Raw genomic sequence first — 17,372 nt, 5'->3', positions numbered from 1 at the left:
TAACACAGTGAAACCCCGTCTCTACTAAAAATACAAAAATTAGCTGGGCGTGGTGGCGGGCGTCTATAGTCCCAGCTATTTGGGAGGCTGAGGCAGGAGAATGGCGTGAACCTGGGAGGCGGAGCTTGCAGTGAGCCGAGATCGCGCCACTGCACTCCAGCCTGGCCACAGCGCAAGACTCCGTCTCAAAAAAAAAAAAAAAACAAATTGTATCTTTATTTTGTTTTAGGTTTTCAGGAAAATTAATTGCAACCTGCCCAGTTCCCACATTCTCCTTCAGTTTGCTCTGTTGTTTACATCTTGTAATAGTGTGATACATTTGTTACAATTAATATTTGAACCAATATATTGTCATTAGCTAAAACCCATACATAGTTTACTTTAGGGCTCACTCATTGTGTTGTACATTGGATTTTGACAACTGTATAGTGACACATGCCCACTATTACTGTATCATACGGAATAGTCACACTGCCCTAAACATTCTCTGTAATGTACCTATCTGTTCCTCTCTTCCCTCCCCACAAACTCCTCCACTGATCTTTTTACTGTCTCCATAGTTTCGCCTTTACCAGAATGTCATATAGTTAGAATCATACAATATGCAGCCTTTTCAGATTGGCCTCTTTCACTTAGCAATGCAATTTTAAGATTTCTGCAACTCTTTCGTGTCTTGATAGTTCATTTCTTTTTATTGCTGAATAGTATTCTACATTATGAAGGCACCAGTTTGTTCATCCATTTGCCTGTTGAAGGACATCTTGGTTGCTTTCAAATTTTGACAATTAAGAATAAAGCTCCTATAAATACTCATGTGTTGGTTTTTGTTGAGACATAAGTTTTCAGCTCCTTTGGGTATATACCAAAGAGTTTTGGTTTTTTTTTTTTGGGACAAAATCTCGCTCTCTCACCCAGGCTGGAGTACAGTAGTGTGGTCTCGGCTCACTGCAACCTCTGCCTCCAGGGTTCAAGTGATTCTCCTGCCTCAACCTCTGGAGTAGGTGGGACTACAGGTGTGCACCACCACGCCCATTTTTTTTGTATTTTTAGTAGAGACGGGATTTTGCCATGTTAGCCGGGCTGGTCTCGAACTCTGGACCTCAGGTGATCCACCTGCCTTGGCCTCCCAAAGTACTGGGATTACAGGTGTGAGCCACTGCGCCTGGCCTAATTTTTGTATTTTTGGTAGAGACACGATTTCACCGTGTTGGCCAGGCTGGTCTGGAACTCCTGGCCTCAAGTGATCCACCTGACTTTGCCTCCCTCCCGAAGTGCTGGGATTACAGGCATGAGCCATTGCGCCTGACCTAATTTTTTAAATTTTATGTAGAGACTGGGTCTCACTATGTTGCCCAGGCTGGTATTGAACTGGGCTCAAGTGCTGCTGCTGCCACGGCCTCCCAAACTGTTGGTATTATAGGTGTGAGCCACTGCACCTGGCCAAGATGAATATTTTTTAGTTTCTTTTTCAACAACAGGAAACATCCAAATGCCTGGCTGGGTGATAAGCTAATTGCTTTCAACTTTTGTCTGTTTCAATTGGTGGGGCAATTTTTGCCTTCCATATTGCTCTGTATAACGCTGGATAATCTTCAGTAGAGTGCTGTAGTCAAAGCAAAGCACCTAAATAGTTGTACAGAACCTACAAGCAGGTGCTTAAGGCTCACATAAACATTACCTGTACTTAAGTATATATTACCTGTACTTTTCAATTTCTCCTTTACGGTTTCCTCCTTCTTAGTTTAATCTCTTTTGTTTGTATTTTCCTTTTTTTTAGGTTGCAGTTGTTCTGATGGATACCCAGGGGGCATTTGACAGCCAGTCAACTGTGAAAGACTGTGCTACCATCTTTGCTCTAAGCACTATGACTAGTTCTGTTCAGGTAAAAACCACTTGACTCAGAAAAAAGCTCGCAAAGGAAATAAGATAAAGGGAGGAAATACAGTTTTGGTTATTGTTCTGTTAACAGAATTTCTAGGATGATATGTAAATATTATTTTTAAACTGTAGATGCAGTTAAACTTTTAAAAGTTTGAGAAGGAGCCAAAGAATTTTTCCTCTTTGGTCATAATTATATATAATATGTTCCAAGAAAAGTCCAAAAAATGGAAATTTATTATATCATATAGAAAATACAGATTTGATAAGAGCTTAGGAAAACTGTTTTAAACTGTAAAGGAGGAATTTTTGATTTCAATCTTATGTGCATAGTTTTCCAAAAGACAGATCATATTGCTGTTTGAACAGGCCTCATGTTCTTATATGCAAGTCTTTAATTGTTCAAAGCTTCTGTCAGCCCTTTAGGCTTATTTGGGATTTGTTTGAAGTAAGCCAGAGTAGTATCAATCTGGATTTTTGTTTTCTAGATTTATAATTTATCTCAGAACATTCAAGAAGATGATCTTCAACAGCTGCAGGTATATATTTCTCATAACAATTTTAACATCATATTATTTAAAAGTTTTAAGATTAAGGAACATTTTACAACTGAGTAGTTTTTAGCAAAAGATTGAAATGTAGAGGAAGGTTTTTGGTTCATAGTAATTCTATACTATGTATAGCCATTGGTGGGGTGGAGCAGGAGTGGTCGGGGAAGGCCTTAATGATTTGAGCAGAGAATGAAAGAAAGTGGGCAAGTGAGTCCTTCAGATACATTTGGGCGGAAAACTATTACAGGAGAGGAGCAGCTGCTGGAAGACAGACCCTGAGGGGAGTGTGCTTGGCAAGATCAAGGAATGGCAGGGAGGCCGGTGGGTAGGATTGGAGAGTGTGACAGGAAGGGGTTAAGTGATGAAGTCAGAGAGGCAGTGAGGTCCCACTCATTCTGGGTCTTTTCCTCTGGGGAAGGTGGGAGCCATGGGAGGGTCGTCAGCAATGATGTTATCTGACCTGTTGTAAAGGGATCATTCTGGCTGCTATGTTCAGAATAGACTTTTTTTTTTTTTTTAAGACGAAGTCTTGCTCTTGTCCCCAGGCTGGAGTGCAATGATGCAATCTTGGCTCACTGCAAGCTGGGATTACAGGTGTGCGCCACCATGCCCGGCTACTTTTTGTATTTTTAATAGAGACGGGGTTTCACCATGTCGGTCCGGCTGGTCTCAAATTGTTGACCTCGTGATCCGCCTGCCTCGGCCTCCCAAAGTGCTGGGATTACAGGCATGAGCCACCGCGCCCGGCCTTTTTCTTCTCTTTTTTTATAGCAGCAGGTCTTATCTGTTTTTCCCACAAAATGCTCTTTTGTGAGTATTCCAGGGTTGGATGCAATTCTGGTATGTTACTCTAATGCTACTTCTCCCACTGACATTCAAGAAAGCATCAGAATGTGAGTGAGTAAGGGTGTCATTATTATAGGGATTACCTTGAATTAGTTCTATTTTATGTTTATTTTAAAAAACAAGGAAAATTCCTCCTAAACCTCGATCCTTAATGTTGCTTATGGCAATTGTCTGTACTTCATAATTGGTAGTTCTGTACCAGTGCCATGGCTTAGTGGTTGAGAGCTGTTGCTCTGTAAAACTTCGATCACAACTTGAGTTGGTCACCATTTCACCTGAAATTTATTCCTTTCTAAGCTCCTTCCTTTCAACCATTTTTCGAATGCTTACCTTGTGTGAGGTAGAGGGCCAAGTGCTATAGATATATGTAAGGTCACATTCACAGGTACCAGGTGCGAGGACTTTAGCATATTTTTCTTCAGGACACAATTCAACCCATAAGAAGTAGTAAGTAGATTATGATGCAGTTATGTAATTCACCTTGTCTCACATGACAAGGCTGTTGGTAGACTCAGCAACTGTAAAATATAAATATTACAGAGGAGAAAGTAATATGTTTGTGTGCCTGGAAATCCGTAAGAATGAACTAGAAAATTATTTGGAACTTAAAAAATAATTAAGGTCTCCATTACAAAATACAGATACAAAATCATTAGGTTTTCCTCTCTACTAACAATAACCAGTTTAAAAATGTAATGGAAAAAATTGACTTTAGCAACAAAATATTGAAAACAGAATAAACTTAAAAAAGATCTATATGGAGCACTTCAGAATTGTATGAGGCATATAAAAGATTTAACATGCAGAAATATGCCTTGTTTCTTCCATATGGGGATGATAATAGCCAACGTGTATTTATTGCTTACTCTGTACTAGATACTGCGGTGTGTTATAAACATTATCTCATTTAGAATGAGAATTATAAACTTGTCAGTTCTTCCCCACTAAACAAAATCATAAAGGCATTATTTTGGGAACTTGACAGAATTGTTGTGAAATTCATTTGGAAAGTTAAATTGTAAAACAGCCAAAAAAAAAAATTACAGGGGAAATATGAGATAATTGACTTAGTACATATTATAAATCTGTAATTACAAGAACATGGCATTGTTTCAGGAAAAAATAGATCAATGCAGTGTACTTACGATATACTACATTTTCATATATTTTATTCTACTTAAGAATATATACACATATACCATAAAGCATAGATCAGTCAATAAATGGTGTTAGGACAGTTGGCTATGTATTTAGATAAATTAGAAATTATATTCCTCTTTGGAATGCTGAGGCAGGCTGATCACCTGAGTTTGGGTGTTCGAGACCAGTCTGGCCAACATGGTGAAACCCTGTCTCTACTGAAAGTACAAAAAAAAAAATTAGCTGGGTGCGGTGGCAAATGCCTGTAATCGCAGCTACTCGGGAGGCTGAGGCCTGAGAATCACTTGAACCTGGGAGGCAAAGGTTGAAGTGAGCTGAGAGCACACCACTGCACTCCAGTCTGGGCAACAGAGTGAGACTCTGTCTTTAAAAAAAAAAAAAGAAAATAAAATTATATTTCTACCTTGTACTATATACAAAAATTCCAGATAGACCAGATAGATTAAATATTTTGATGTAAAAAAAGAAATCACAGCTGGGTGTGGTGGGTCATGCGTGTAATCCCAGCACTTTGGGAGGCTGAGGCAGGTGAATCATGAGGTCAGGAGTTCGAGAACAGCCTGGCAAACATGGTGAAACCCCGTCTCTACTAAAAATACAAAAATTAGCTGGGTGTTGATGTTCATGCAGAGCCTTCTGATTAAACACATTAATATTTCTTCAGTGAAATATATAACCAATAAAATGGGGTAAATAAGCCTATAAAAAGCTTCATGTCAGTTGAAGGCAGGTTTTGTTTCCAAATAAGTTTCCCCCCTAACCTGGATTTTTAGTACTTTTTTTATTTTTTTTGAGATGGAGTCTCCCTCAGTTGCCCAGGCTGGAGTGCAGTGGCACGATCTTGGCTCACTCACTGCAATCTCCGCCTCCCAAGTTCAAGTGATTCTGCTGCCTTAGCCTCCTGAGTAGCTGGGACTGCAGGTGCGTGCCACCACACCCGGCTAATTTTTTTTGTACTTTTAGTAGAGACAGGGTTTCACTATGTTGGTCAGAGTGACCTCAAATTCCTAACCTGAAATGATCTGCCTGCCTCAGCCTCCTAAAGTGCCAGGATTACAGATGTGAGCCGCCGTGCCTGGCCTTTTTGTTTTTTTGCTTTTTTTTTTTAGAGACAGAGTCTCACTCTGCTGCCTAGGCTGGAGTGCAGTGGTGCGATCTCGGCTCACTGCAACCTCCACCTCCCGGACTCAAGCAATTCTCCTGCCTCAGCCTCCTGAGAAGCTGGGATTACAGGCATGTGCCACCATGCCCAGCTAATTTTTGTATTTTTAGTAGAGACAGGGTTTCGCCATGTTGGCCAGGCTGGTCTCGAACTCCTGACCTCAAGTGATCTCCCTGCCTTGGCCTCCCAAAGTGCTGGGATTAGAGCGGCCAGCCCTGCTAAGAGGCTTTTCTCAAATGTCTAGCTGGTGGTCCTTGACTACCTATTTAAGAGAGAGCCACTAACAATCCAACTGGGAGCTTTGATAAGAGGATAGGCCTTGTGTACTGGTTTGGATCACAATGAGGTAGGTGGTTTGGCAAGGTTATCTAGCTATTTTGTTGCCAACTCCTAAATGTCTATTTTTTTTGCAGATATTTATTCTTGGGTTGTTAGTTTCCCTGGAAAAAATTTCTTTAAATTCCTGCCTTGGTGGGTAGAAGCTTGCTGTGGCAACCAGTAGGGTGAGAGGGCTAAGGAGTCCCACTGCTCACTATGTGGACTTTGATTTAAGTACCTGTTTGAAGGTAGGAGACTTACTCCTAACCTCAGCTGAGTTTGGTATCTAAGTCTAGATTTTTTTTTGGATTTATCTTCTCCAGATAGTACACTTCCCATCTTCTATGGAGGCAGGAAAAATACGGCAGTTAGAGAGGGGTGCCTGGAAGTGTAGGTACTTTCTCCTAAGACTCACATATTTCCTAGTTGTCAGCTGGACTCCTACACCTCCTCCTGTAAGGTAACTGTATGCTTATAATTTCTGAGCATTTCAGGGATTTCTACTGAGATAATTTGCTTCTTCCTTGTTGGCCCCTGTCTCTTCCAGATTTCTTAGCAGAACAGAGAAAGCCAAAACTTGAGACAGTTCTCATTTGTCTATTTTCCATCCAGAATGTTTTTGACAGGGCTTTTCTGCTGGCTGCTTTGTCCTGTTTATTTATTTACTTTTAAAGTTTGTTTTGTTATGCTTTTAGTGAGGCTTCCTGAAGATTTAGAGGTAAATATACATGTAAACCTTAACCTTAAAGAATTCAGTCATTTGAATGACATAAATATTATGGGCCTAATACTTTTCTTGCTGCTGGAAATCCAGTAGTGCACAAAACAGACAAATATTCCTGCCCTCATGGAGTTTAAATGCTAGTATAAAGACAGATGCAAATCAAATCAAGAAGAGGTATAGTATATTAGATAATGATAAATGTTAAGAAAAAAACTTTTAAGACTGGGTGTGGTGGCTCACGCCTGTAATCCCAGCACTTTGGAAGGCCGAGGCAGGTGGATCACCTGAGGTCAGGAGTTCAAGACCAGCCTGACCAACATGGAGAAACCCCGTCTCTACTAAAAATACAAAATTAGCCAGGTGTGGTGGCACATGCCTGTAATCCCAGCTACCTGGGAGGCTGAGGCAGGAGAATCGCTTGAACCCGGGAGGCGGAGGTTGCGATGAGCCACGCGCCATTACGCTCCAGCCTGGGCAACAAGAGCACAACTCTGTCTCAAAAAAAAAAATTTTTTTTTAAAGACACGAAGTAGGAAATATTATTGGCAAACTTGTAATCTTTTTCGGTAGATGGCCATGGAAGTCTTCACTGAGAAGGAGCTATTTGAAAGACCTTAAGAAGTGAGGGAGCAGATCATGAGGAAATTTGGGAGAAGAACTTATAGTTAGTGGGAGGAGCCAGTACGAAGGTCCTAAGGCAGCGGTGTGCCCCGTGTATTTGAAGAACAGGAAGGAGGGCCAGTGTGGCTGCATCACACTGTAAGGACTGGCTTTAATACTGAATGAGGTTGTGGGGTTTTGAGCAAAGCCATTATATGATCTAACTAACCATATTATAAAAGAGTCAATGTGGCTGCTGTGTTGAGAATAGCCCATAGGGAGGCATGGGCTGAGGCAGTTAGGAGGCTATTGCAGTATTCCAAGCCACATGGAAATAGTGAGTGGCTGGATTCTGGATTTGTTGATGAATTGGGATGTGGGATGTGAGCAGGGAATAACCAAGATGATTTTAAGGTTCATGACTCCTGTGGGCTTTTGAAACTGTAGAAGTCTGGTATCAGTATAAATATAATGAATACTTTGCTAAAAAGGCCATAGAACTATTTTAAGTAATTTTGCTTTACAAACCATAATGCTTCTTTTTTAAAGCTCTTCACAGAATACGGTCGTCTGGCAATGGATGAAATTTTCCAAAAGCCTTTCCAGGTTAGAATATTTATTTTAAATATAATTCATACCTTTGTTTTTGTTTTCACAGATTGGCAAACTACAGCTCATAGGCCAAATCTAGCTTGCCACCTGTTTTTATATGACTTGTGAGCTAAGAATGGTTTTTACATTTTTAAATGGTTGAAAAAAATGAGCAGTACTATTTTATGACACGTAAATTACCTGAAATTCAAGTGTCATTGTCTGTAGGTAAAATTTTAGTGTAACACAGCCATGCTCATTTGTCTTTGTACTGTCTGTGACGGCTTTCCTGCTACAACGGCAGAGTAATCGCTTAAAAAGTAAGCTCTGTGGGTTGGGCGTGGTAGCTTACACCTGTAATCCCAGCACTTTGGGGAGACCCAGGTGGAAGAATTGCTAGAGCCCAGGAGTTTGAGACCAGCCTGGGCAACATAGCAAGACATCTCTTAAAAAAATGGGGGTAGGTACAGTGGCTCATGCCTGTAATCCCAGCACTTTGGGAGGCCAAAGCAGGCAGATCACCTGAGGTCAAGAGTTCGAGACCAGCTTGGCCAACATGGAACCTGTCTCTACTAAAAATACAAAAATCAGCTGGGCGTGGTGGTGGGTGCCTGTAATCTTAGCTACTCAGGAGGCTAAGGCAGGAGAGTCGCTCGAGCCTGGTAGGTGAAGGTTACAGTGAGCCGAGGTCATGCCACTATACTCCAGCCTGGGCGACAGAGCAAGACTTTGTCTCAAAAAAAAAGAAAAAAACAAAAATAAAATAAAATAAAAAGGTCGTGCACGCCTGTAGTCCCAGCTACTCGGTGGGGTTGAGGTAGGAGGATCACTTAAGCCTAGGAGGTCAAGGCTGCAGTGAGCCATGATTGTGCCACTGCACTCCAGCCTGGGTAACAAAGCAAGACCGTCTCAACACAAACACACACATACACACTCACTCACTCTCTGTCTCTCTCTGTCTCTCTCTCTCTCTCTCTCTCTGCAAAAAGTCTTTGCTGACCTATGCCTCAGTTCAGTGTTTCTTGAGAATGAGGAAGCACAGCAGCCTCAGTCAATGGGATTAGAGGTGCTTTCAGTGTGTAAGCCTTATTTCTTTTCTTTTCTAATTTATTTTTTTTTTTTGAGATGGAGTTTCTTTCTAAAATTTTGCCCAGGCTGGAGTGCAGTAGCATGATCTTGGCTCACTGCAACCTCTGCCTCCCAGGTTCAAGCAATTCTCCTTCCTCACCCTCCTGAGTAGCTGGGATTTCAGGCGCCCGGCTAATTTTTTGTATTTTTTGTAGAGATGGGGTTTCATCATGTTGACCGGCTGGTCTCAAACTCCTGAGCTCAGGTGACCCACCTGCTTCGGCCTCCCAGAGTAAAGGGATTATAGGCATGAGCCACGGTGGCTGGCCTTCCTTTCTAATGCTGAAAACAGACCTGATTTTTTTCTTTTTTGGAGACAGAGTCTCGCTCTGTCACCCAGGCTGGAGTGCAGTGGCGTGATCTCGCCTCACTGCAACCTCCTCCTCCTGGGTTCAAGTGATTCTCCTGCCTCAGCCTCCCAAGTAGCTGGGATACAGGCGTGAGCCACTGTGCCCGGCCACAGATCTGATTTTATGATTAGCTGGTGCCATGTGGTTTTCTCTTTTGTCCTTTACTGTATTCCCCATAGATTTCTTTAAGGCAGAGTCCCAAATTTACCATTTTCTCATTAATGTCTTCCTTCTGTTCCTACTAACCTGTGGGAACAAAAATAGCAGATAGGATATATTGACCTCATATTTGGCTTAAACATGTCCCTCCAGTGTTTGTAAAACTTCTAAGACATTACAGAATAGATAAATCTGGCCGGGTGTGGTGGCTCACACCTGTAATCCCAGCACTTTGGGAGGCCAAGGCCACAGGATTGCTTGAGGCCTAGAGTTCAAGACCAGCCTGGGCAACAGAGCAAGACCTTGTCTATATAAAAAAATTAAAAAATAAGCCAGGAGTAGTGGCATGTGCTTGTAGTCCCGGCTACTTGGGAGGCTGAGGTGAAAGGATCACTTGAGCCCAGGAATTCTAGGCTACAGTGAGCTATGATCATGCCACTGCACTCTAGCCTTAGTGACGGAGCAAGGCCCAATCTCTTTAAAAAAAAAAAAAAAAAAAAAAGGTAAATCCTTCTACTTTACCCCCTTTGTAGAAGCTGGCATTATGCAAAGATGTATTGCAGTTGTTCTCTTGAAAATGTGTTTATGCATGTTAAAATATGTTCCGCTCTTTTCTTAAATAGACACTGATGTTTTTGGTTAGAGATTGGAGTTTCCCTTATGAATATAGCTATGGACTCCAAGGAGGAATGGCATTTTTGGATAAGCGTTTACAGGTAAGTGGGACTATAATCTTCTGATGAATTATCTCAAAGTAGTGATAGCTTTCTCATTTGCTTTTGGCTATTGTGTTTAAAGCAATTATTGAAAATGATATTGAATACATTAACTATATATGAATCTTAACACAAGCTAATATTTATTCTTGACAAGATTAAAGAACCTGTATATACAGTACACAGGAACTGTAGAAGAAAACTCTGGGCCAGTGCCCAAGCTTTGATTATAATTTCCATTTTACATTTTAAACCAAGTTCTATATGTGTCTTTAGAAATCATACTCAGAATTTTAGTTATGTTATTCTTCAAAATTTTTACTTATTTTGGGATAGATATAAACAGGCCTAACCTGTTCCCCCAAACCAAAACACAGGAATCCTTTGTCTGTCACTACTAATTGGTTAGATCCTCCTTCATCCCCACAAACCATCTCTTGTGTAATACTCATTTTAATGAAACTCTTATGCACCTGTTTGCTAGCTATAGGAGTCAAGCCGTAGGTAATCAGATTTGTGTGTTTATTGCTTCTTAGGGTTCTGAGTTTTCTCATTTGGCCACTATGATCCATCAGAGTTGAGGAGTCTTCTTTCCTTTGTCCTTATACTAGTTGTCCCTAGTGAAGAAAACCAAATGACTTTTGGTTGGTAAATTCTTGGTCTTCATTGGCAGGTGAAGGAACATCAACATGAAGAAATTCAGAATGTTCGAAATCACATTCACTCATGTTTCTCCGATGTCACCTGCTTTCTCTTACCACATCCAGGACTCCAGGTGGCCACAAGCCCTGACTTTGATGGGAAATTAAAAGGTGTGTTCCAGGTGTTATTTTAAACCTGTGATTCGATCTTTGGAATTAAAAATAATGAATCACTTACAAATCAAGTGAATGCTTAAGAAAAATGGTATGCTCTCTTAGAAAGAGTAGTATTTAAAGTCTAGTTCAGATTTTGCTCCTGACTTACTGAGACCATCAGAATTAGTTTACCTTGACTTCTCCACCTGAAATGGTGGTGTTCATATCCATTAGTAGTCTTTCTAAAGAGACTCATTATGGTTCTTGGTTTACAAGAGATACAAATGCTAAATAAAGGAAGACTAAACATTAGTCAGCTAATATTAAGTAAAATTAACTTCCTAAGGGAAGGCAGCATGATGCATGGCAGAGCTATTATTTTCATCTTATTTGTGATTATAGCAAAACCTGACGCTGGGTCATGTGCTAATATCAGGAAGTGCTAACTAAATGGTAGGTGAGAGGAATCGTAGTTGGGACTCTTGGGCTCCATTATCTTATCTTTGTTCCTTTTTCATTAAGGCCTTGAGTCATTAAATGGCTAGCCCTTAATTTATACATGTGTTAAACTGAGCACTTGTTAATAAGCTTATCCGAGTCTCTCAGATTCCTGGTAATGTTTGCAACACTATGCTAGGTACTTTGATATTTATGCTCCCAGTAATTCCAATGACTTTGATGTCATTTCCTTTATCTTATATGTGAGGAAAATGGCAAAAATAGTTAAGGAAAAGGAGGAAAGTTAAGTAACTTGCTCAAAGTGCTCAGCTAGTTAAGTAAGTGGTGAGGCGTAGATCTACATCCAAGTTCTTGTTGCTCCAAACCCATACTGGGCTAAAATAGGGGTTCTTCTGTTATATGGAGGAAATCATTTAGAGGATATGTACTGTTTAGTTACTACTAAAAGGTTTTGAAGTGAATGGTTTTCATAGCCTCATATTAAATATAAAATGCATCATTTCCAACCTATTTGATTTAGTTGATCCAAGAAAATGAATGTTCAACTCAAGATTTTCATTCTAGCTGGTCTTAATATTGCAAAGAAACTGAGTTAAAGAGACTTAACCTTTACCTTTTATTTGTCACTTCTCTGATACTTTTACGTGATTGACAGCTTTCCTGAGGAGGAGACTTCCCTGGCCTGTTTCATGGCAATTGAAAAATCTAAGATTATTGCTTGGGGAGAGAAATCCGCTTGGCAAGCAGTGGACCTAGAACCTTTTACCTGAAAAGCAGTTTCAAGGGAGTTTTCAGAGCTGAGTAGGGAGAGAAAGTTAAGTGTGTATGTGTATGTCTCTAGGTAATATATTGTTTAGGATTATAATGCTCCATTATTGGTTGTACTTTTCCCAACCTGAACTCAGATTTGTTCATCACTGATAGGGAATGTGTCCAGTGGAATTCTTAAATGGAGGTGTTAGGAGAGGGTGAATTAGAGTGACTCCTAGTGATTATCCAGTATAAACACACACACATGGCATTCTTCCATAGTTTCAGTTTTAGTATTCCAATGCATTGCTTTAAAGTTCATTTTCATTTTTATCATTCAGGGAGTAGGCAGAGTTTTTTAAAGTTCAGTAACCCTGGCTTTTGAAATTTGTGTCACTTTTGGTTGTATTAATTTCCTGTGGCTGCCTTTAACCAATTACCACAAACTAGGTGGCTTAAGACAACGGAAATTTATTCCCCCGCAAGTCAGGGAGCCAGAAGTCCAAAATGATGGTTGGTTCCGCCCGGAGACTCTGAAGGAGAACCTGTCCCACACTCTCTCCTAGCATCTGGAAGTTGCCAGCAGTCCTTGGCATTCTTTGACTTGTACCTTTAGTTGCCTCCAGGTTCTTTGTTGTCACATGACCGCCTTCTTTGTGTGTTCTGTCTTTTTCTTGTGAGCACACCAGTCTTTGGATTTAGGGCCCACCTTAATCCAGTATGACCTCCTTTCAGCTAATTACATTTGCAAGACTGTTTCCAAATAAGATTTTCTGAAGTTCCAGGTGGACATGCATTTTGTTGGGGAGGGGGATGCTGTTCAACTCACTATACATATATGTAGATTATGAATGGTTTAATCACTAAATATTAAGCGTGTCAAGTTTCATATATAACATTTATAAAATAGGGAACAAATTCTGTATGAGCAATCTTTAGTCTCATAATTATGTACTATTTGGTTTCCTCATCAAGATAGAGCTATATAAAATGCACTGGTAAGTCTTAAATCTTCCTTTCTTACATGAAAAGGCAAGTCCAAAAAGAAGAAATACAAATGGTCATTATATATTAATGAAAATATGTGCAGCATCACAATAATCAGGAAAGCACAAAAGCATTGGTAATAAATGATCATCTTTATGAATTGTAACGTGGCAGCATCAGAATTCAGAATGTTCACGTCCTTTGATCCACTATCCCACTTCTAGGAGTTTATCCTAAGGAACTATTTAAATAAGTGGATAAAAATATGTATACTGGCTGGGTGCAGTGGCTCACGCCTGTAATCCCAGCACTTTGGGAGGCCAAGGTGGACGAATCACCTGAGGTCAGGAGTTTGAGACCAGCCTGGCCAACATGGTGAAACCCTGTCTCTGCTAAAACAAAAATTAGCCAGGCATGGTGGCAGGTGCCTGTAATCCCAGCTACTTGGGAGGCTGAGGCAGGAGAATCGCCTGAATCTGGGAGGCAGAGGTTGCAGTGAGCCGAGATTGCGCCATTGCACTCCAGCCTGGGCGACAAGAGCAAAACCCTGTCTCAAAAAAAAAAAAAAAAAAAAAAAAAAAGATACTATGGTAGCATTATTATCATAGAGAATAACTGGAAACAACACAAATGTGTCTTTATGTGGAGTTGGTTAGATTATGGTACATCTCAGCCTCGGCAACATAGGGAGATCCCCCCCATCGCTAAAAAAAAAAAAATACTAGCTGGACATGGTGGCACACCCCTGTGGTCCCAGCTACTCAGAAGGCTGAGGTAGGAGGATTGCTTGAGCCCCAGACGTCAAGGCTACAGTGAGCTGTGATTGCACCACCGCACTCTAGCCTGGGTGACAGAGTGAGACCCTGTCTCAAAAAAACAAAAACAAAAACAAAAATTAAGGTACATCTGCAGAAAGGAATAAAATGCAGTCATTAAAAAGGATAAGGTAGAGGCCGGGTGCGGTAGCTCACGCTTGTAATCCCAGTTTGGGAGGCCGAGGCAGGCAGATCACCTGAGGTCGGGAGTTCCAGACCAGCCTGACCAACATGGAGAAACCCCATCGCTACTAAAAATACAAAATTAGCTGGGCATGGTGACACATGCCTGTAATCCCAGCTACTTGGGTGACTGAGGCAGGAGAATTACTTGAACCCGGGAGGTGGAGGTTGCAGTGAGCTGAGATCGCGCCATTGTACTCCAGCCTGGGCAACAAGAGCGAAACTCTGTCCCAAAAAAAAAAAGATAAGGTAGATAGTTGAATCTGTGTGTCTTTATACAGAAAGATGTTTGTGATATATTATTAAATGCAGAAAGATAGTGGAGTAGCATATGTGGTATGATCCTATTTATTTAAAAAAAATAAGTACTTTAAAATTTGTATGCATTCATGTATGTATGTATGTATTTATTTATTTATTTTAGAGACAGGGTCTTGCTCTGTTGCCCAGGATGGAGTGCAGTGGCGTGATTGTAGCTCACTGTAGCCTCTAACTCCCAGTCTCAAGCAATCCTCCCACCTTAGCCTCCTCAGTAGCTGGGACTACAGGCATGCACCACTATGCCTGGCTAATCTTTTTATTTTTTTGTAGAGACAGGGTCTCCCTATGTTGCCCAGGCTGGTCTCGAACTCCTGACCTCAAGTGATCCTCCCACCTTCCACTTCAGCTTCTCAAAGTGTTGGGATTACTGGCTTGAGCCACCACGCCCAGCCAGTACTTTCTTAAGTGGAAAGATTTGAAAAACAAAAATTTGCTTTTTTGCCTAACTTTAAAAATATGTTAAAAGCCTGCCCTCTGTGTTTATTTAAGGAACTACAATTATTATGAGGATTGTTCATGAAGAATTCTTACTAGCTCTGCAAAGGTTTATGTACATTTTAGATTTGGAGATGGATATTTTTTAATTTTAGGGAACCACTTAACCAAGATTTTGAAGGGTTTTGAGTGAAGAGTAAATTGGATGCTAAATTGCAAATAGCGGGTGATTTGTATTTGGCAAGTGCTAGCTTGAGAACCACACACAGTTTATTGTAGGAGACCTGTTAGTAGAACTAACGTAGTTTTCAGAATTTAAAAAAAAGGGTAGGCATTATATTTTCTCAAATATATACTTGTGCAGTTCCATGGTTGAGATTCTGCAGTCCTGTTCTGTGTAACTTGGAAAAGACATTAGCCTGAGGTTGTTAGGGCTAATCCATAAAAGGAACTTAAAGTGTAATTTTTGTAGAACATTTAAATTTCATAAGAACTACATTCTGAAACTATTTCTGCAAATGTTCCCCCAGATACTTTAGGAATTATTTTAGTGGTTTTATTTTATTTTTAAAGATCAACCACTTATTTAGAGGTAGATGCCTGCCAAACATGATCTTAGTTTTGGTATAACTGATGCTGAGCTGCTGTTTCTTGAAGTAATTAGCTAGAATAGCTGCTGAGTTTTTTTTTTTTTGTTTTGTTTTGTTTTTTGAGACAAAGTCTTGTCTACACTCTGTTGCCCAGGCTGGAGTGCAGTGGTGCGATCTCAGCTCACTGCCACCTCCGCCTCCCGGGCTCAAGCGATTCTTGTGCCACATCCTCCCGAGTAGCTGGGATTACAGGAGTGCGCTACCATGCCTGGGTAATTTTTGTGTTTTTAGTAGAAACGGGGTTTCACCATGTTGGCCAGGCTGGTCTTGAACTCCTGGCCTCAAGCAATCTGCCCACCTTGGCCTCCCAAGGTGCTGGGATTACAGGTGCGGGCCACCACGCTAGGCCTAGAATAGCTGCTTTTTGAGAATACTTTTCATCAGATGCAAGATGACTGTGTTGTCAGCATAAAGAAAATTGTTATCTTCCTACTTACTGTCACAGGGAGACCTAATACAGTAACTACTGAGTTGTTTAGTTGGAAATTAACACAGGAGGCTTTGTAGGGCACAGTCTTCTTTGACACCACTAAAGATTGAGTTTGTTTCTGTTATGAGATAGTTCTTGTCTATTCTAATTTTAAAACTATTATTTTGGTGTAGCCTTCATAGAAACATGAGTAGCATATAGGGTCTGTACAGCTTGTTAAAGTGACAAGTGTAGCATCTGGATCCTGCTGCTACTTGTGTGAGGTATTTTTTGAAACACTCCATCTTTCAGTGTGATGGAAATTGAAACCATACAAAAAGGTTTTTTGGATATGTAATACATTCACATGTTTAAAATTTTAAAAAGGATTAAAAAGTACTCAGTGAAAAGTCTCTCTTCCATTTTTGTAGTCTTTCAGAGTTTCTTTAGTATATGAAAGCAAATGTGAATGTGTACAGAATGGCCTGTTATGTATACTTTTATACTTTTTCACTGCAAGGTTATAAAGTATTTTTCCCATGCTTTCTTGAAATTTTAGTTTCATTTTTCATATTATAGTCTGGTTGGTGGAGTATTAAAGAGTTCTTATTTGATGTGGGCTCCTACCTGCTTTTTTTCAGTGTATAGCTGGGAACCCAGGAAGATGTTAGAAGATTATGTAAATCAGCTTTTCTGTATTTTAATTCTCCTGTGTCTTCATAGTTGGACCAGCTAATAATTCTTACTTTGAGGAAAGAGCTCTATTTAATGGCTGTACTGATCCCTCTGTGGGAACCTTGTAGAAGCTGCAGAGAATCTGTCACCTTTCTTGAGTTAGTGGTCTTTTCATTTTGGGGTGGTTCCGAGGGTCTCTGAGGAGATAATAGAAAATAAATATAATGAGGCACAGGTACTTCTACTTCTTTTAACATTAAAAAAATTAACAAGAATAAATCAATGACCAGTGATTTCTAATTGATTTAAAGGAGTAGTAGTGTGAGGGCATGGCAAAGGCCTGAGACAACTTGAGAGGTTGAAAATTGACTTGTTGAAGACCCTGTTAATGAAATTCTTTTTTTTTTTTTCTGAGATGGAGTCTCACTCTGTTGCCCAGGCTGGAGTGCAGTGGTGCGATCTCGGCTCACTGCAACCTCTGCCTTCCGGGTTCAAGCTATTCTCTGCTTCAGCCTCCCGAGTAGCTGGGATTACAGGTGCCCGCCACCACCCCCGGCTAATTTTTGTATGTTTAGTAGAGACGGGGTTTCACCATCTTGGCCAGACTGGTCTGGAACTCCTGACCTCGTGATCCACCCGCCTTGACCTCCCAAAGTGCTGGGATTACAGGCGTGAGCCACCACGCACGGCCATCAAATTCTTTAAAA

At 40.6% G+C, this 17,372-nt stretch overlaps 1 protein-coding gene and 1 long non-coding RNA gene across 11 annotated transcripts in view; one reads left to right on the top strand and one right to left on the bottom strand.

Annotated features, from left to right (window-relative positions):
• The window catches only part of LNCROPM (lncRNA regulator of PLAAT3 mediated phospholipid metabolism), a 42,655-nt gene that overhangs the window by 4,610 nt on the left and 20,673 nt on the right, over positions 1–17,372 (bottom strand). The window contains exons 2-3 of the long non-coding RNA NR_199012.1: positions 16,618–16,862; positions 3,606–3,793 (exon numbers count right to left, since the gene is read on the bottom strand). This is a non-coding gene — a long non-coding RNA (lncRNA regulator of PLAAT3 mediated phospholipid metabolism). The remainder of the gene's footprint in view (positions 1–3,605; positions 3,794–16,617; positions 16,863–17,372) is intronic.
• The window catches only part of ATL3 (atlastin GTPase 3), a 47,888-nt gene that overhangs the window by 17,622 nt on the left and 12,894 nt on the right, over positions 1–17,372 (top strand). For 4 of the 10 annotated variants that reach the window (NM_001290048.2, XM_047426725.1, NM_001440718.1 and 1 more), the window contains 5 exons: positions 1,778–1,882; positions 2,367–2,417; positions 7,790–7,846; positions 10,092–10,184; positions 10,858–10,996. In NM_001290048.2, the coding sequence (NP_001276977.1) occupies positions 1,778–1,882; positions 2,367–2,417; positions 7,790–7,846; positions 10,092–10,184; positions 10,858–10,996 (445 nt within the window). The remainder of the gene's footprint in view (positions 1–1,777; positions 1,883–2,366; positions 2,418–7,789; positions 7,847–10,091; positions 10,185–10,857; positions 10,997–17,372) is intronic. The other 6 variants (NM_001440720.1, NM_001440717.1, NM_001440719.1 and 3 more) reach the window with 5 other exon arrangements.

Source organism: Homo sapiens, chromosome 11 (genome assembly GCF_000001405.40).
Source record: "Homo sapiens chromosome 11, GRCh38.p14 Primary Assembly".
Lineage (NCBI taxonomy): Eukaryota > Metazoa > Chordata > Mammalia > Primates > Hominidae > Homo > Homo sapiens.
The sequence above is the reverse complement of the archived record's forward strand: the minus strand, read 5'-3'. Positions and strand labels throughout refer to the sequence as shown.